Source organism: Homo sapiens, chromosome 3, assembly GCF_000001405.40.
Source record: "Homo sapiens chromosome 3, GRCh38.p14 Primary Assembly".
NCBI classification, from domain to species: Eukaryota; Metazoa; Chordata; class Mammalia; order Primates; family Hominidae; genus Homo; species Homo sapiens.
This window is the reverse complement of record NC_000003.12, coordinates 54,496,948-54,518,059: the sequence shown is the minus strand read 5'-3', so window position 1 is coordinate 54,518,059 and position 21,112 is coordinate 54,496,948. Positions and strand designations below refer to the sequence as shown.

The following is a 21,112-nucleotide window of genomic DNA, read 5'->3' as shown; positions in this document are numbered from 1 at the left end:
TTCACGATACTTATGGGAGCCCACTGTGCTTTGTTGGAAAGACACCAGGAAAGCCCAGCCCCAGAACGACTTCCCCAAGCACCAGGGGTCCTGAGGGCTGCAAAGCTGAGGTAGATGGCTGACCTCTTATGGTAGGATGCCCGGGGCAACTTTAGGCTCGTACCTCAGCCCAGTGGGGTCCTGGTCCACTGGCTATGAGACAGCCCTGGAAGCCTTGTCAGCCAGCTTCCAAGGGCATGCAGAGCAAGGAGGGAGGCAGGGTTGGAGCAACAGGAAGGTGAGCCCAAGGCAAGGCAGCCTTGGGGGCATCAGGAGACGTGAGCTGACACCTGGATGCCCTGTGAGGCTCAGGAGTCCCCTCAGAGAAGAGGCAGAACCTCTGTTGGGCATGAAGAGAAGACGCACATTTACCTACTGCTGACGTCACTGTCAGTAAACCACGTTATATTGTAGTTGAAGGAACGCAACAGCTCTACACCTGGGTGATACTCAGTGTTTACAGCCTGTGCAGCAGGTGGGCACAGCCTGTGGTCTGCGATGCTGACTCCTCAGTTGTGGGGAGGGGCTGGGGTGGACAAGAGGCCCTGGGGCGAGGGTCTTGGAGCTATGTCATTTACCAATCACACACATCGTTTCACTATCTGAACCACTAGCATACCCACACCAATGCTTCCTAGCTGAGGTCAGCCTGTGCTGCAGAAACTGTCATTAAGAACTAGCCATGGCTACACTCTAATCTGGCTTTGACCAGGCGGATCCAAGAAAACCTTTCCTCTTCATCAATGAGGAGCAGCCTGGGGGTTGGGCTTCTCCCAAGCCACTGCTCGAGGGGAGTCTCTTTTTGCCCACTTAAGCAACGCAGCTAGGACAACAGGCAGACCTGGATCCAAATTCACACTTGAAGAAATAACTAACCTTCTTGAGCCTGCGTCTTCTCATCTGTAAGGTGGTTTGTGGAAAAGCAAATCACCACCACCCAAATCCGTGTGATCCTTAGAAGGGACTACTATAAAGTGGTTTGTGAAAAAGCAAATCACCACCACCCAACTCAGCCTTTTCTGGGGCTCCCACTCCTGCAGGGGGAAACTTCCACTATCTCACTAGTGCTGGTCTATCACAGGTACCCCGACTGGTCCTGAGCCTGCAGACCCAACAGACAGCCCTTCATCACCTCTTCATCTGGATTTTGGGGGCACTTTGTCTTGCTAATTCCCCTCCTCCCACCCTGCCTTTGATAGCAGTGAGTAGAGAACATGAAAATCTACCCCAGAAAAGTCTCTGAAAGTCAGTTCTGATCCAATTTCCCCACATCCAGCCTGGGACTTGAATAAAGTAGACACGGGTGAAGATGTGGTCGCGTGGACTCAACCGCTGGGGCTCTGCTTCAAAGCACTAGTGGGCAACCAGACTTGGAACCCAGAGACTTTTCACTCCAGTCTGAAAGTTATGCACCCTCAATCTCTGTAGGCCATTTTATTGATCTCTAAGATGTGGATCAGTCCACCTGCCAGATGATAAAGTACCAGTGTGTTGCATCTCTATGCCTATGGAGACATGCAAATATCTACATGTGTGGGCATGAAACAGCACAGCAGCAGTTGTTGAAGTAGAAACCACTCCAGAATTGTTCTACCACCGTGAAGTGAGGGTGGAAAAAAGAAAAACATCAGAAATGTACAGAAATACCTCTGTCACTTAAGAATGAAGGAAGAGTTCAGACGGTGGCACTTTGGAGATGATGAAATGGCACTGCCACACGGGGCAGCCTGTGATGTCTTCAGAAATAAGAAAGGTCATCAAGTCATTTGTACTAGAAACTCACCTATCTGAGGTGTGAACTTTCAAATGTCATCTTAAGGAACTGGTGGCCCTGAGCAGAGAACATCCCTGAGAGAGGGCACCTTATCCCCAAAGCCCACCTGTGCTGTTGTCAGGCATTCATCAGGTAGTGAAGATGGCCTACAAGGAACCCCTGGCCCAAACCCCCAATGACACATGTCCCTGATGCATGTCAGGCTCCAGGATGTGGCCTTTGACAATGGATCTAAGCAGAGGAGACTGGCTGCTGCACTCTTGGCCACTTAGCCCTGGGCCTCCCATCTCGAGGGTCCACTGAGGCCCAGGAACAGGTGCTTCACAAAGTCCTCTTGAAAGTTCTCTGTCAGTGAGAGAACAAATGGGACTGCACAGTCACTTCTTGAGACAAGAAAACCTCACTTCTAATCCCAGTTTCCAGTGTGACCCTTGGAAGCACTGACATATTTTTTTCCCAAGTGCAGAATGTTCTTCATATTTGAGGCAGGGCATTTCCATGTCTGTGACACCCATCGGCAGATGACTAGAGTATCACAGAATCATTTTAGAGGGAAACCATTTCTCTTTTCCCAGGCCAACATCATTCATCTTAAAATAACTACTGCCACCATAAGGACACAGTATGAAACTTAACACAATCTCCTGCAAAGGTAGCATCTGCACTGACTGCCAGAAACAACTTACTTGGGCGTTCTGCTACCTCTAACAAAACTACTGTTGGCCATTTTCACCACAAAGCAGAGAAAGCTAGCACCTGGGAAGCCATTAACAATTTACATGCAGGCGTATTTCCTTTTATCAGATAGCTGTGTTCTCTGAACAACTAACTTGTAGATGGGCGCAGCTTTGTAACTCAACTTCTTTAGTTCTTTCATTTTTAATTACTAAAAAAGCAGCACATGTTCCTCATAAAATATTCAAACTGAACAGAAGGGTAGAAAGTGGAAAGTCAGCGCTATTAATTTCCTGAACATCTCTCCAGAAATCTTCTGCATATACAACCACTTATATCCTCTCTCTCTTTCTCTCTCTCTCTCTCTCTCTCACACACACACACACACACACACACAGACACACACACACGGATTTTACTATGCATTTTCTTCTGCATCTTTGTCACTTGCTGGGCACCTTTGGGACCTTTCTCTTGAGCACAGGGAGTTCCAGCTCAGCAGAATCTCTTGGTCCCAGGAAACGTCCATACCTTCTGAGACGTTCCATGATAAAAGGATGCCATAATCAAGTAACTTAGGGAAAAGCTGATGCATCAGATTGAACGGCTTTCTTTTTCTACAGTAGAAATTCGTATTCCTTGAACATCTCAGGTAGATAGTGCAATGGCACAAGCGGTAGATTCTCCAAGGCATCACCCTCCCTTATTTCAACCCAAAACATTCTGTGAAGGACTACTTACCAATAGCTTGTGTGGTGTGTTCTCTCCCACTGCAATATTCTCCACCTCCCACCCCACCCCAGCCCCTGGCTAAATTATTTCCTACCCATCCTTCAGATGGCAGCGGGCCTAAGTGTCCTCTGCCCGTGGCCACCCCCACCTTCCCAGTTCACCCAGGCTGAGCTGCTGTGGGATACACTCTTACTGTACCACAACCCTTTCCTCCACAGCATTTCCTCCGGGTGCATCATATGCCCAGCTGTGTGCTGACTTCCCGCCTGCCTTCCCACTGACCTGTAAGCTCCAAGAGAGCATGGGCAGAGTCTGCTCATCTCTCACCACACCTCCTCACACCCATGCAGCGTCTGGCATGCTAGAGGTGCTCCACGAATATTTATTAAATCAATAGATGGTGGCAGTGTCCCACAGAACCCAGTTCTGCAAATGCCATTCCAGTTGCTATAGTGGAGGAATTCACTTCTCCTAAACACACTGCAGTGAACTTTCTGGCAAGGAGAAGAGCCTTTTTGCATTCTGATCATCATCACCTCCTTACTCACTTCTCTTAGACATATTTTGGTATGGCAAGTTTGCAGGATTAAATGTGGAACTGTCTCATTCCCAACAGAAATATCCCCTATGTGTGAGCAGTTGGTACCCATTGGCATTCTGATGCAGAATTTGCCTCCCATTTTTAAAACGACTCTTTGCTGCAACATTATTTTCATAAAGGGAAGAAATTGGAAGTGTTTATGTAAAATAAGACTAGTTTTCATTTATGATGGATTTTCATATGCTGAGATGAAAATAGCACAATTTGACAAAAACAGGGCCTTCCATTTGCCGCACATATAAAGTGTGCATATAAACAGGCATGACGGCTGGGTGCGGTGGCTCATGCCTGTAATCCCAGCACTTTGGGAGGCCAAGGCAGGTGGATCACTTGAGGTCAGGAGTTCGAGGCCAGCCTGGCCAACATGGTGTCTCTGATAAAAATACAAAAATTATCTGGGCATGGTGATGTGCACCTGTAAACCCAGCTACTTGGGGGGCTGAGGCAGTAGAATCACTTGAACCCAGGAGGCAGAGGTTGCAATGAGCTGAGATCGCACCACTGCACTCCAGCCTGGGTGACAGAGTGATACTCCATCTCAAAACAAACAAACAAACAAACAAACAAAAACAGGCATGACATAGCTAGCTGAAAACTCAGCCATCAGGGTGGTGGAGATGCACAGTATAGGGAGGCAGTGTGGAGCCCGGGTGGTTCTAAAGCCAAAGTATTAGGCTTGCATGCTGATTGCCCACTTTGCTAGCTGAGTAATTCTGAGCAAGTCTCTAAGCCTCAGTTTTCTCACCTCTAAAGTGGGAATTAGTAATGGTTCCTGCTTCAGTGAGTTGGGGTAGGATTGCATTGTATGAGATCATATTATGCCTGAAACATAGTAAGCACCACAAAAATGTTACCTGAAGGAAAAGAAACTGATGGAGGCATCAGTTGACTAAGGCACAGGTGAGTGTCTCTAAGGTCAATGAGTAGATAGTGTGTTCTGGACAGAAGTTTCCATCAGCTTGGATTTGGGAAGAGTAAAAGAGTGTAAAAAATGAAAAGATTTTCTTTATGTCCCTGGAAGCTATTGCTTCCAAACATCTGAGGGCCCCCAGGTCCTTCTAAGAGTTACCAGCAAAAGGAAAGCAGAGCATTACTTAAAGCCTGATATGGTTTGGCTGTGTCCCCGCCCAAATCTCATCTTGAATTCCCATGTGTTGTGGGAGGGACCTGGGGGGAGGAAATTGAATCATGGGGCAGGTTTTTCCCATGCTGTTCTCATGATAGTGAATAACTCTCACGAGATCTGATGGTTTTATAAGGAGGAGTTTCCCGGCACAAGCTCTCTCTTTGCCTGCTGCCGTCCATGTAAGATGTGACTTGCTCCTCCTTGCCTTCCGCCATGACTGTGAGGCCTCCCCAGCCATGTGGAACTGTAAGTCCATTAAACCTCTTTTTCTTCCCAGTCTCAGGTATGTCTTTATCAGCAGTATGAAAACAGACTAATACGAAGCCCTACAGCCTTTCACTGACATAGACACCAAGCTTCCTGGGAGCAAAGTGGCCTAAGAAGTAGGACATGGACACACAGAGGTTCACCACATCCATGCATCATGAGCAGGTGGGTGGAGAGCAGGTGCAGGTATCAAAGACTGAGCCACCTGCCAGGGTGCTTGTCAGCCTCTGACCCAGCAACTCTACCTCCACATTGTCCTCCCTTCACTGAATTTCTTGATGTACAACTGCAGTGAAAAAAGGGTTTCCAAGGTGCAGGAGAAAAAGGAAGGCTACCTGGCTCAGGATCAGAGATATTCCCAGGCATAAGCCATGCCACTGTGGGGGACCCGGTGTCACTATCATCATTCTTATAACAATACTAACAATTGAGCTCTCAGTAAACTTTTGTTACACAGTAGTCTGAAATGCTTAATATCCGTTGTTTCATTTTATCTTCACAAAGCCCCCATGAGATAGGTGCTATCATTGTCTTTGCACAGATAAGCAAGAAGCATGGTCTGAGCCTTTTGTGGGAGTAGGGTCAACATGGAGGCAGCAAGGATATATTATATTCACATTCATACCACACACCCTGTGCGAGCCCGATGGCTGGCCAGGGCACCTGGCTAGCATTCCTGAGGAGGCCTGGGAGCCACCTGCAGACCATCTACTGGTCTCTACCGTGCTTCTTAAATCCTGGAAGTCTAGTCTGCATTTCCCTCAGCAAGGCAATCCCTTTCTCAAACAGGGGGACCTGTGGCATATATAACTAACTGAGTCAGCCCAGGGACAGTAGCTCTTAATCTCTTTCCCCCACTGGAACATACTTGACTGCCACCACAGGCTGCAACAGTTGCTGCTGCAATTTTCACGGTGCTGAAGGTGGCTCCACCCTTCTCCTTCCCAGGCAAAACACAGAAAGCAAGTGCTTGATCCTGAAGTTATCATAGAAGTAACCTTGAAACTTCTCTAAGCCATTTTTTAAAAATAAATCATCTACAAACTCCAGCTCCCTACTATTACTGTAACCTTTCACAAATGTCGGGGCACCAGGGTGAAATAAAACACTATTAGTAACCATTCCTGCTCTCCCATTGTCCTTTACTGCTCCTGGTACCACCTTTCAGAATTTCTCTAGCCTAGGTGCAGCTCCTATCCAACTGCGAGACTCCATCTGGACTCCCATTCCTTTGAAAAAAGAGATTAAAAATACAAACAAATTAGATCCTGAAAGTAATTACTTCATTAGGTATACATCTAAAATTACTGTCTTCAGAAACAAACAAGAATCAAAATTTAAATAGAAGAAGAGTTGACAGAACCAACAAGCAGATAAAACAACAACCATTTGTGATGGCCTGTAATAAGAGGATTCAGTTCAATTCAACAACATCCTTAGAAGCGCATTTCTATTCCAGGTCCTCTGCTATGGTCCCAAGGGAATGAAAAAAAAAACACAGCCCCTGCCTCCAAGTTCAAGGGAGGAGAGTGCAGTGAAAAAGAAACTGCTGAAAAATGTGATGAATAATCTAACAGAAGGAGAGACAAAACCCCCACACGGGGGCATAAATGAGGGGGCAGAGGATGTTTCTGGAGAGGAGGGCTAGGGCCAGAGGGAAAGACATGGCAGCCATGGAGCCAGGCTCTCAGGAAAGGACAGGTCTTTCCAGAATGGAGAAAGGACAGTACCCTCAGCAGGAGGTCAGAGCCTAAGCAAAGGTCTTCAGAGAGTCTGGAATCCTGGGATCTAGCATGACCAGGAAGAGGGGGAATGGGGTAGCCAGGAAAAGAGGACAGTAAACCAGAGCTGGTTTGTGAGCGTGTTTGCACTTCATTCTACAAACAGGGCTGAATGGAAGGGGTCTGGGCTTGGGGAAGAGCATCCCCTACATATTTTTGGCAGGACAGTGACGGTAACCCATCTGGTTTGCTGGGAGCTGAGTCAGTGTGAGGAATCAATGTGTATCAAATTCCTCCGTGTGCCAGGTGTTCTGCTGGATGCTGCACCTTCACTTTCTTTAATGCTCAAAATGACAATTTACATCTTACAGATGAAGAAACAGAGGGCCCAAGAGTGAAATGCCCTTTCTAGTCCACCATGCTGATACTCATAGCACTGGATACAAGCCCAGGCCTGCCAATCTCCAAAGACTCCTTGATAGCTCTGGGAAGAGCTCCATGGTAGACAAGAACAGAGATGATGGGGATGGCAAGGGACAGTGACCCAGGTGAAAAGGGAACCAGGGGACAGGAACAGTGCTTCAGAGAGCCTTAGGCAGGAAGCATAAACTCTTTTCTCACTTGGATTTTGGGAAAGAATCACCTGTACCTAAAGTGATGCCTTTGAGTTTTGCCCCAGGTAACTTCCCTGGACCTGACTCTAGAACAGAGGCTGTGGAAGAATTGCCTTGGAGAATGGTGGTCCCCACTGCTTCTATAACACATGGGGTCATTGTCAATGAGATAATGCACTGAAAGTCCTCACTACAGAGCATGGCTGTTGGTAAGTAATCCACTCATCCATCCATCCATCCACTCACCGACCCACCCTTCATCCATTCATCCATTCATCCATCCATCCATCCATCCATTCCCCCACCTACCCATCCATCCATCCATCCCTCCACTCACTCACCCACCCTTCATCCATTCATCCATCCATTCATCCATCCATCTACCTATGCATGTGTCCATCCATCTATTCATCCATCCATCCATTTATCCATCCATCCACCTACTCATTCATGAAATGCAACTTCCAGGCTAAACATAAGCCTAAGCATAGGACTGAGGAGCCACAAAGGGCCAAATCACACCTTCCTTCTACTAATACAACTTCTGAGAAAATACAGACACAAACCTATGCATACACACATATACATCTCTGCAGACCTATTGTGCCACATACACATGCAGAAGTATGGAGGCATTGCCAATAGACTTGAACTCAGCCACTCAACTTGTGAATTTTAAGTCAGGGATAGTTATTTTGCCATATAAAATATAATTTCCAAACTAGAAGAGAAAAACTATGAGTAAATTTGGGATGACAGCTGTGGAGTTACTTCAGTGGCACTATCTTGTATGTTTCTTACCAAATGCCTTAGTCCTATTATGCTCATATTGCTGGAATAGGGGTTCCTGGAATCCAAACTACATCTTGGGAAAGTTTCCTGGGCCTTGCTGAGGACTGTAGGTACCAACAGACCATGTGCGAGGAGGTTCTCGAGTGTTATTTCTCTAGGTCCAGAGCAATGTGCTCTGGTGTAATTCCTCTGATCTTGACTCCCAATACCAAGTTATGGCCATATCATCATCACATTCCATTAGGGCTGGGAGACAACAAGGAAGCAAGATTGGAGCCTAATCCAAATGCTTTAGTTCAGAATCCTGAGAAGAAAATCCATTTCAAGTTGGAATTTGTTTCTGACATCCTGGGGTCAGTCACTCTTGTTCACTTATGTGCGTGTGCTCTCTCTCCCTCTCTCTCAAACACACACACACACACACACAAACACACACACACGTGAAGGGAAAAGAAACAAAGGGAAAGGAAAAAATTTTAAACAGCTTTTTATAAGGTTTGTGAGCCTTCTTGCACATCAAATAGCTCTTGGAAAACAATATTTTAATGATTTCCGTGTAAACGAATCAGAAACATATGGATTAAATTTTCCTTAAAATATACACATGTAATTAAGGGGAAAAGTGCCTGGCAAAATGCATTTTGTGTTTTATCAAGCTCAACATTTGAAAAATAGGTTGAGACATCTGACAAATCCAAATTCAGCAACCCTGCCCATCCCTCCAGCAGCCTGCATACTCTGCTCCTAAGCAGGGGACCCAATGCCATCTCATCAGACTTCTGCCCTTTTCTTGGGCTTTTTAGAAGAACCTATTGGACTGTAACAGACAGACTGATTTCTCATGCTCTGCAGTGGTGGTTACAGGTCTTCCCTTTCCTGGAGCTCTTTTCATTTTCAGGGGCTGGACCCTGAGCACAATGTAGCTTTGCAGCCCAGTTTTCCCAGCCCGACTGGGTGCCCTGCTGGGGAAGTCTAGAGGATGAAAGCGTGGTCTAGCCTGTGTCCTGCAATTCACACCTCCCCTTCACCTCTGCCACTTCAGCCTACCTCTCCCGGATGTCCTCCGTTACTGGGGGAAGAAGAGGAATTGAGATTGGGTTACTTCCTATGTTTTTTCTTCCTCTGTGCAAGAACAAAGTGAAAACAGTGTTTTGATTGTAATCTATATTCATTCCCTTACCTTGCAATAAGTATTTATTGAGCATCTACCATGTGCTGGGTATCCTGCTGGGGTTCCCGCCTTCATGGGGCTGATATGCTCACTGGAGCTTGCTCTCTAGGGCCCCAGGCCCAAGGGCTCTCACCTTATCCATCCAGTCTTGGCCCATGTGCTGTTCTTCTCTGGATTTTCTCCAAACCAGGCCCTGAACACCTCCTCCCTCTCCCTCTTCTTCAGTGTGAGTGGGAACTAGTATTCTTCAGTGGCTCTCTTCCTGGCAAAGCTGTCAGCCATATTTCACCTGTCACCATCATGTTCATGACCTCCTGATGGCTCCCACAGCCTCTCACCACCTGGCCAGCCCTTCCAGGCTCCATAACTGCCTTTCTGACTTCCACAAAGGAGCAGTTGTTCCCACTGCTGCTGCCACTTTGGCTGGGATCTGCCCAACTTGCCCCACTCCACAGCCCCCTTGGACAACAAGCTCCCTCAGTCTTGGAGTTACAGTACCTACTCACCTGCTAAAGGCTCCCCTTTTAATGCCATCACCTGGGTGATTAGGTTTCAACATACAAATTTTGGAAGGACACAAACATTCAGACCACAGCACTTGAGTCCTGGATGGACACCATGTGCCATCCACCCCTCTAAGTGTTCAATCCTCAGCACATCCCCCGAGGCAACTCACTATGATTGTCATCTCCAGCTTAGGGATGAGGAAAACGAGGCACAGGTATTGTATGCAGTTACAGATGTGAGAGTAGGGCAACCCTGGGGTCAGTGGGTCCTTGTCAGGTTGGATCTGGGTGTGACTCTGGGTGTGACTCTGGCCCCAGCCTCCCTCCATTCCCAGACATTTCCAGGCCTTATTCTTTAGCTTTCCTGAAGAGTCTGTGGGCCACCCAGTCTCCTCTCAAAAAGTTTCTTTGCTATCAGCCAGGTTCTGTTTCTGTTGCTTATAAGAACCATGAAAACACCACAGCCCTGGATGACATCTCATAGCCCAGGAGGCACAGGTGTCAGTGTCTTCCACACCAACCAACATCTGGGAAAAACTCATCTGTAAAGAGCATGGGCAGGGGTAAAGGGGGCACAAGGCTGCATCTGCAGGGTCCTCTGCCCTCAGAGAACCTAAAGTAGAGAAGGAAAGACTGCATGCTCTGCATTCACAGAACAGAGCAATGCTAGAGCAGAGGAATAAACAAAAGTCACTTCCATCACACAAGACAAAAAGAATCAAGGAGGTTATATTTGAGCTGGTTTCTAAGAATAGGCATTAGGACAAGCAGGAAAGGAGGGACAGGGATAATAGGAATAAAAACAGTGAAATACACTACAATGGAAGAAAAAGGAAGGTGTGTTCAGTGAACAAAAGCAGGGTCTCACCCGGGTGGACAGAGGTGGAAAATGGAAATGAAGGAATAGGTTGAGAGCACAGCATTTTCTTTCACACACATTCACATATTTACAAACACACATGAACAGACCTGCCCATAGACAGAAACATGCACATACATATAAGGTGTATGTGTATATGTACTGTATATGTGTGTGTATGTATATATATATGTGTGTATATATAATGTGTATATATACGTATAAACTTTACAGCACTTCAGTTGAGAAAGTCCTTAAAAGAGTTCAGCTTTATCTGAATTCTCTGCCAGATCATCAGCAGTTCTTGCAAAAGCATCCTGCCTCTTGCTTTACTCATAGAGGATATGGAGTCATTTACGGCTCTAAAGGTATCAGCCATTCATCTTCAAAGTCTCCGAAATAGTAAGACTCACAAGCTGGGGATGCCAGAGCAGCCACTCAGCAAACATCTGCTGAAGGAGTTTCATGAAAAAAGCTGCTGCATCAGGCAACCTGAGGGCCCTGAGATGCATTTCTAAACACTCAATGAATATGCCTCTTTGAGTTCCCATGGGCACAGCTTGCCCACATCACCAACTTTGAAGCTGCAGTCTCTTTCAGTGCTCAAGAGAAAGGCACCTCAGCCAGAGAGGAAAGCACAAACCCGGCTGAGCAGCCCAGTTGCCAGGCCCGCCCACGGAGGCAGAAAGCAGATTGTAGAAAGCAGGTAGAGTTTACCAGCTAGTTTCATCTAGAACTAAAAATTATACCCCAGAACATAGATCACAGAAGCTCCTAGGCAAGTATCAAACCACTTTGGTATATGCCCACAGAAGTCCAAGCAGCTAGGAGAGAATGACCTTGTATTGGTTTTCTTCGCTGGGGGTAAGATTTCCAACCCAAAAACAGCACAGCCAGTGACCAATCTCTGAGCATTTGTTTTGAGTACGTCATCAATAACTAGATCTGAGCTGGAGGGCCTTCTAAACATAAAATATATTCCTGCAGCTTGAAAAGGAAAACAAAAAAAAAAGGCTGTTAGGGGCTGTTTTGAATTAGGTAGAGTGGAGACAGGAATTTGCCTGAAGTCCCTGCCTCTCCTCTGCCCTTGGGCAGTGATTCACTGCCTGGCTGAGACAAGACAGAACACCTGGCTGACCCTGGTCCATGCCCCACAGCCTGGCTGGGTGACAATGGACTGGGCAGAGGTGATGGGCAGATCCCAGGAGGGCTGCTGAGGATGACTTTGAATATCATTAGCTACATCCAACGGCTCAAAAAATCTGACTATCTCTGAAGATTCTGTCTAGGAATCATTACAAGCATGATTCTATAGCCTGGGTGATCAGTGGTGGTGTGGGTCCCTTACGTGTTACTACCATTAAAAGGCACAATTATGCCTTTAAAGCTAGAGGTGCAATTAAATCTCTATAATGGTGTTAATGGCTCAAGAAACCTTGAAGCAGCTGTCATATTTTAAAAGATCATTCTGAATTGTTTTATGTCTGAAATTGCTCTGTAAAATCATGTTAATTTTTCATCTTCAGTTGGGAATATATTGAATGCCAAGAAGATGGCTTTCTTTTGGCCACATCGCACAAAAAGGGGCAGTTTCATTTAGGATTTCATCTGCTGACAGGATCATTCTAGAGAACTAAACTCCACTAAATGAAGCTGAGCTCAGCCCTCTATGTCTTGGTTCCATTTGTTTCTAAGGAAGAGCCCAAAGTAAAGAGTAGGGTAGAGGATATGGCCCAGTCCAGAGCCCTCTAGGATTTGTTTAGATTCACATCACTTTCTCTAAGAGGAAAAAAGAAAAAAAGATGAACTGTGGCCCTGCCCATGTGAAGAAGTAGACAGGTCCCATCCTTGGCACTCCCACTGTCCCCTGGCTGTCCACACTGTGGCCAATATGTGATACATGGTGTTCTAATTATCTCATTATCTGTTCCCTATATGAACTGTGAACCTCTTGAGGGAGGGGCTGCATCTGATTCACCTCGGAATCCCCAGTAACTATCAGAACAGTTAATGAATGGGGTACTGCCTCCACTGACTCTTAAGGATGGATAACAGGTAAACCAGGAAAAAGAGACATTAGGTATCCAACTATACCTAATATCCAACACGCGTAAGAAAAATGTTTCAGAGACAGTTAGTTGGAATATCTTTAATCACTGACCAAGCCCCTTAAATAGTGACTTAGAACATTTCAGAAGTGCAATTTGTATTCACGTTATTTTCCAATAAAAACAACGGCAGCTAAAATGCACTGCGCACTTTCTGTATGGTACTGTTGTATTAAGGGCTACACACACATCATTTCATATCCTCTCACTAACCCTCTGACGGAGGCAGCATCATTATCCCTATTTCACAAATAGGGAAACTGAGCCTCAGAAAGGCAAAGTTGCTTGCTTAAGATCACACAGCCTACAAGAGGAAGATCAGGACTTAAACCCATAGCCCTTGCTCTTGACTACTGAGCTCTTGTATATGATTTGGAAACTGGCCCCTGATATCTTTGAAACCTTGATGGGAGACAATGTGGCACATTTTTTACTTTGAAGATTCCATGACTTTCTGGCTTATTTTTCTAGGAGGATAGTTCTTTGTTTAGAAGTTTTTTAGGTATGACCAAGCAGAGCAAACTACTACTCGATAGCAATAGGATAAAGATGCTGAAAACAACTTAAACCCTTTATAAACATCATTCCATTTAGCCCTCAAAACCACCCCCAGGAGGTAGATATGATTATTATTCACATCATAAGATGAGAAAATTCAGACCTAAAAAGATGAGGTGACGTGCCCAAGGTCACAGCCAGAAAGAAGTAGAACACGGTCTGACCAGAATCCATCCGATGTCAGAGCCCAGTCCTTGGCCACTATAATTCCAACTGGAATTGGCAGATGGGAACTTAGGGAAAAATAAACTCTAGAGTTTATGTGAAGACTGGATTTGAGGCACACAAGCCTGGAAATAAGGAATTCTGTTAAGGTCCATGCTGCTTTATACTCTAAGAAAAGACCCCAGCTGTTTCCATTGCACCCCTAGGAGCTCTCCAGCCCTTAAATGCCATTCCACAAACTGGAAGAAGAAAACAAAGGTACCACATCAGGGGTCAGAAGACTACAGCCTGCAGGTTACATCCAGCCATCTCTTTTTGTAGATAAATTTCACTGGAACACAGCCATTTGGCTGCTTTTGTGCCTGAACAGCAGAAGTGAGTAGTTGCAACAGAGACTCTATGGCTGGCAAAGCCTAAGATATTTACTATCTGGTCCTTTATAGAAACTGCCAACCCCTATTCTACATGTTAGAGAGCCTGATGTAAACAACCAGCCAGAGAAACAGCAAGCCCAGAAGCTCCAGGCAGAACAGGTACATGCTTCACCTATCCAGTTGATACCTGACACACTCAGCTTATAACTGTGCTTTTCAAAAAAAATGAAACAAACCAAAACTATATCCCAAACCAGCCAGCCCCTGCTTCTCAACCCCCTGATTCTTCACCTTCTAAAAGGAGCAGTGGCTGGGAGTCTTACCTTTGTTGTACATGTTCGTTGGTACTTGGACGTCACTTAGACTGATGTTCACAGGCAAATTATTAAAATGGTCATTTGGGGCTAAGATGAATTCCTTTCCCAGCTCCAAAAAATTCCCGTCTTTGTCCCTTTCATTTATCAGCACAGCATTGAAGTATTCATACTGAAAGACAAAGTCAAAAAACATTACATGTGGCTTAGGGAAGAGGGCTGTGAACTCACTTAGACCTGGGCACAGGCCATGTGCCATCCCTTACACTGTGGACCCTGATCTGCTCACATAATCTTTTTATGTCTTATGTACTGTCCATGGCTGCTTTTGCATGGGTGAGATAGCATTATATAAATAGTTTCCAATGTCACTAAATACTCCCAGAAAACATAAATGTTAAGGGGCAACGCAGTACTTTCTTATGTGCATATAGAGAAAACTGCCCTAGAAACATTTTAATTCTTTAAATTTTGAAGAGAGACCCTGACTTTATGTAGCCTATATTAAGTTGAAGGAGGCTGAAAATCAGCAAAAAATAACAGGCAAATATACGTCAGATCATCATGCTTGCTATGGAAAAATAATACAGCAGGGTAAAGGGATTAGCAGCTTCAGAAGGACTGTGTGTTTATACATGGTGTTTGAGAAGGTCTCACTGCGATGGCAACACTCAAATAGAGATTAAATGAGGGGAGAAATCCAGTGGTGTGGGCATCAGGGAAACATCCGAGAAAGAACAGCAAGGGAAAAGCCCTCAGATGGGAGTGTGCTGGCATGATTTACAAATGGCTATATCATCATCTCACATATACAGAAGGCTTACTTTGTGTCAGAAATCACTCTAAGTGCTTTTCATGTGTTAACTCATCTGATTCTCCTAACAATGTTATGAGGTGGATTTTATGAGTATTCCTACTTCACAAATGAGGACACTTAGGAATAGAGAATGTATGCATCCTGCAAAAAATTACACAGCTGATAAGGAAAGCCAGAATTCAAATACAGGCCATCTATCTTGAGTCTGTCCTTAAATCTACTGTATCAGATGGCCAATGGCAGGTGTGGGTGGAATTAACAGAGCAGAACCTTAAAATAACTACAATTAATATGCTCTAGAGGCTAATGGAAAAAGCGGACATGTAAGAACAGATGGGTAATATAAGCAGAGAGGTGGATATTCTATGAAAGAATCAATGTGAAATGCTAGAAATCAAAAACATTGTAACAGAAATGAAGAATACCTTTGCTGGTTCATTAGTAGACTGAACACAGCCAAGGAAATAATTGCAGAGGATGAAGATGTGTCAAAAGAAACTCCCCAAAAAGAAATGCAAAAAGAAGAGAAAATAGAAAGGGAACAGAATATCCAAGAATTGTGAGATAATCACAAAACGTGTAACATATGTGTAATGGGACACCAGACTGAGAAGAATGGAAACTGAAATATTTGAAATAATAATGGCTGAGTATTTTCCAAAATTAATGACAAAAATCAAGCTACAGATCAAGGAAGTTGAGAGAACACTGAACACAATGAATATTACGAAGATTTACATCTACACATATCATATTCAAACTGTATAAAATCAAAGAAAAAGAGAAAATCTTGAAAGAAACCAGAAAGAGGGTGGGAGAATCTTACCTGTAGGGGAACAGGGATAAGGATTACATCAGACTTCTCTTCAGAAGCCATCCAGGCAAGAAGAGAATGGAGTGAACCACTTAAAAAGTGTTCAAAGAAAGAACCATCAACCTAGAATTCTGTATCCCATGAAATTACCCTTCACAAGTAAAGGAGAAATAAAGACCTTCTCAGGCAAACAAAAATGAAGGAATCTGTTGCCAGTAGACTTGCCTTGCAAGAATTGTTAAAAGTTCTTAAGAGAGAAGCAAAATGATATAGTTTAGAAATTCTCATCTGCATTAAGACAGGAAGAATGTTTGGCCAGGCACAGTGGCTCACACTTGTAATCCCAGAACTTTGGGAAACCAAGGCAGGAGGATTGCTTGAGCCCAGGAGTTCAAGACCACCCTAGGCAACATGGTGAAACTCTGTCTCTACAAAAAAAAAAAAAATTAGTCAGGCAAATTAGTCGGTTGCAGCAGCACCCGCCTGTAGTCCCAGCTACTTAGGAGGCTGAACGAGGAGGATCACCAGAGCCTGGGAGGTTGAGGCTGCAGTGAGTCATGATTGTGCCAATGTACTCTAGCCTGGGTGACAGAGTGAGACCCTGTCTTACCAAAAAAAAAAAAAAATAGTGTTAGAGCAAGAATAAATGAAGGTACATAAAATATTTTGTTATTCTTAACTAATCTAACATATAACAGCTTGTTCAAAATAATAATAGTAATAAATTACTGTCTATGGATAAGTGAAATGAATAATAGCAGTGTTATAAGAAACCGGAGGGAGGAATGTGGAATACTCTGTGCTATGATTTGAATGTGTTCCCTCCAAATTTTAGGTGTTCCAATGTGACAGTAATAAGTGGTGTGGTCATTAAGAGATGAATAGGCCATGAGGGCTCCTCCCTCATGAATGGGATTAGATGTCCTTATAACAGGGATTGACAGAGAAAGTCTGTCCCTTTTTCCATTCTATCTTCTACCAGGTGAGGAAACAACACTCTTCCCTTCAAGAGGATACAGTATCAGTGCATCATATTGGAAGCAGAGCAGCCTACACCACACACTAAACATGCCAGCACCTTGATCTTGGGCTTTCCAGCCTCCAGAACTGTGAGAAAATAAATTTCTTTTCTTTATAAATTAAGAAGAATTTATAAAGTCTCAGGTATTCTGTTGTAGCAGCACAAATGGCCAAGACACTCAGTTATAAGATACCTGCACTACAGATGAAGTAGTGTAAGGTTATTTGAAGTGGACTTAAATTAGTTGTAAATGCATACAGCAAACTTTAAGGCAACTACTAAAATAACTGTAAAAGGAAGCATAATTTATATGCTAAGAGAGGAGAGAAAATTAAGTCACATAACATGTTCAATTAAAACTAGAGAAGGCAGAAAAAGAGTAGAAGAAAAAAAGAAAGAAATAAGGAAAGAAAAAGAGAAAGAAAGAAAGGAATGAAAAGAAAAGAAAGAGAGAGAAAGGAAGGAAGGAAGGAAGGAAGGAAGGAAGGAAGGAAGGAAGGAAGGAAGATAGGAAGGAAGGAAGATAGGAAGGAAGGAAGATGGACGGACCTGGGGTAGTGAATAGAAAACTGTTACAAATATGGTACATATAAATCCAACTATATCAATAATCACCTTGAATGAGCATGGAATAAATACATCAATCAAAAGACAGAGGCTGGCAGAGTAGATTAAAATACAAGACCTAACTATATTTTGTCCATAAGAAGCCCACTTTAAACATAAAGACACAGATATATTAAAAGTAAAGGGATGAAGAAGATATACCATGCTAACATTAATCAAAAGAAAGTGAGGGTAGTTGGTTTAATTTCAGGCAAAACAGACTTCAGAGCAGGGAAAATTATCAAGGAATAAGATAGGCAGGCATTACTTAATGATAAAGAGGTTAATTCTCTAAGAAGACAAAGCAATCCTTAATGTAGTATGCATCTAACAGCACAGCGTTAAAATACATGAAACAAAGACTGATAGAACTGCAAGGAGAAACAGATGAACTAGCTATTATAGTTAAAGACTTAAATGCCCCTGTATCAGTAACTGACAGACTCAGGAGGCAAAGTACTGGTAAGAATACAGTTGAAATGAACAATACCATCAATTGGATCTAATTTACATTTATAGAATACTTCATCCATAAAGAGAAGAATACACATTCTTCTTAAGCATGTAAAGATGCTTGCTTGGAACATTCAAGATAGACCACATCAGGGGCCCTAAAACACATCTTCACAAACTTAAAAGAATGGAAATCATACGGTGTCTGCTCTCAGACCACAATGAAATTAAACTGGAAATCAATAACAAAAAAGATAGCTGAAAAAAATCCCAAAATATTTGGAGATTAGACAACATACTTTTAAAAGAATTCTCAAGATAATTTTTTTAAAAATTAAAATGAAAACACAGCCTATCAAAAGGTGTGGGATGTAGCAAAAGCAAAGCTTACAAGGAAATTTATAGCACTGAACACATGTATCAGAAGAGAAAAGAAGATCTAGAAGCAATCATCTAAGCTTCTACTTTAGAAAACTAGAAAAAGAAGAGCATATTAAATCTAAAGTAAGCAGAAAAAATGTATATTTTTTATTCTGCAAAGCAGAAATCAATGAAATTAAAAACAGAAAATCAGTAGTATCAATGAAACCAAAAATTTGTTCTTTTTAAAATTATAGTACAAAGATCCAAATAAAAATTAACAAAGGGAAGGGGTACATGAGGCAAAGTCCCAAGGAATCCAGGTGCAACCTTCCAAGAGTTCTGCCCCAGTGCAATCACAGAGATTATACTTAATTCTTCTATTAATGAGTTGTAATAATACATTGGAAGTGGTGTCTAACAGAGACTCAGCATTCAGGATTTTTATTGGGGGTTGGTCCTGTAGCAATACTACTTTCAAACTTAACCTAGTTAACATTTATAGAACTCCATACCTAACAACTGAAGAGCACACATTCTTTTCTAGATCATATACTGGGCCATCAAACAAGTCTCAATACATTTAAAATGACTGAAATCCACATACTATGTTCTCTGATAATAATGAGCTAAATTTAGAAATCAATGTATGATATTGATATGAAAAATATCATTGATATCTAGATTTTAATAAAAGATGATACCTGCAAATAGACTAAAGATTTGGATATTAAACAAAATACTTATTAATAATACATATGTCAAGGAAAAAAATGACATGGGAAATTGGAAAATATTTTGAAATTAATCATAATGAAAACAACATATCAATATTTGTGAGATGCAACGAAAGCAGAGCTTAGAGAAGAAGTTACACATTTAAAAGCTTATAATATAGAAGAAAAAAATTTCAAGATAAATAGTCTACCTTAAGATTCTACCTTAACAAGGTATTAAAAAGATGAATAAATGAAACTCAATGTTAAAAGAAGGAATAAAGTAATAGAGATAAGTACAGAAATTTAAAACAAAACAAGTAACAGGAAAAAATCAATAATACCAAAATTTGGTTAATATAATTAACAAAATTATGAAATTCTAGTTAGACTGATTAAGAAAAAAAGTAAGAAAGCAGAAAATACCAGTATCTGGGATGAAAGAGGAAACATTACTCCAGATCCTACAGATAATGAAAGGATAAGGGAATATTACAAACAACTTTATGCCAATAAGTTCAATAACTTAGGTTAAATGTCAAACTCCTTGGGAAACAGAAATTATCAAAATGGACACAAGAAGAAATACAAAATATAACTGGCCCTAGAAATACAAAAGATATTGATTTCACTGTTAATAGCCATGATAAAACAAACAAACAACTCTAGGTTCATATGCCTTAACTGATGGATTCTATCAAATATATGAGAAAAAAATACAAACAATCTTATATAGACTCTTTAGGAAAATTAGAGGAGAAAATACTTCCTATCTAATTTAATGAGGGTAGCCTAACCTTGACACCAAACAAGAACTTTAAAAAAAAAAAAAACTATATGCCAATATCCCTCATAAGCCTAGATACAAAAATCTTAACAAAATTTTAAATCAAATCCACCTATAAATAAAGGGATAATACATCACGACCAAACTGTATTAATCCCAGGAATTCAAGGTTGGTTTAATATTTGATTAATCAACATAATTCACCACATCAACAGAACAAAGAAGGAAAATCATAACATCAAATAGATAAAGAAAAAGCATGTGATAGAATTCAATTTTTGTTCATCATAAAAACCCTCAGGAAATTTGAAATAAGGAAAAATATCTTCAACCTAATGAAAAGGATTTACAAAAAAACATGTATCTGACATTATATTGATGAAGAAGCACTGAATGTTTTCCCCCTAAGATCAGGAATAAGGCAAGGTTGTCTTACCACTTCTGTTCAATACTGTAAAGGTGGTCCTGGCAAATACTGTAAGACAAATAAATAAACAAAAGCCATAGGTATTGAAAAGGGAAAAAATCTACCTTTACTTTTCTACATAGATTTTGTCTATATAGAAAATCCTAAGGAATTCACATAATATAACTTAAAGAGAGTTAACAAGATCACAGAATACAAAATAAATACACAAAATCCATTTTATTTCAATATACTAACACAAAACAGTTGGAAATTGAACTGGAAAATAATAGCATTTATGATAGCATAGAATAAAACAGGTATCAATTAAACTATAATAGGTGTATATTAAACTATGTGCAATGCCTGTATACTACAAAGTACTAAAAACCACAAATATTTGTTTGAACTTAAAGAAGACTTATATAAATGGAGAGAGATAGCTTGCTCAAAAATTGGAGAATTCTATTTTATGACGCAAGTTCTTCCCAAAGTGATCTACAAATTCAATGAACTCCCAATCAAAATATATAAGCATTTTTAATATAAATTGAAAAGCTGATTTAAAATTTTACATATAAGTAAAAGAGACCTCAATTTTCAAAACAATTTTTAAAAAGAAGAAAAAAGCCCAAGGACTCACATTTTCTGATTTTGGGCCTTCCTCTAAATCAAATTAATCAAAGCAGTATGGTATAAGCATTAGAATAGACAAACAGATCATGAAACGGAGAGT

At 42.1% G+C, this 21,112-nt stretch overlaps 1 protein-coding gene across 1 annotated transcript in view, besides 1 other annotated feature; it reads right to left on the bottom strand.

The window, feature by feature from the left end:
- The window catches only part of CACNA2D3 (calcium voltage-gated channel auxiliary subunit alpha2delta 3), a 952,006-nt gene that overhangs the window by 556,498 nt on the left and 374,396 nt on the right, over positions 1-21,112 (bottom strand). Inside the window, exon 5 of the mRNA NM_018398.3 lies at positions 14,406-14,568. Within this exon, the coding sequence (NP_060868.2) occupies positions 14,406-14,568 (163 nt within the window). The remainder of the gene's footprint in view (positions 1-14,405; positions 14,569-21,112) is intronic.
- Positions 217-717: an enhancer, noted in NCBI's record as "H3K4me1 hESC enhancer chr3:54551370-54551870 (GRCh37/hg19 assembly coordinates)". NCBI's record gives its function as "activates a minimal SCP1, AML or CMV promoter by ChIP-STARR-seq in primed H9 embryonic stem cells {active_cell/tissue: H9 hESC(primed)}" and the evidence as "EXISTENCE:reporter gene assay evidence [ECO:0000049][PMID:30033119]".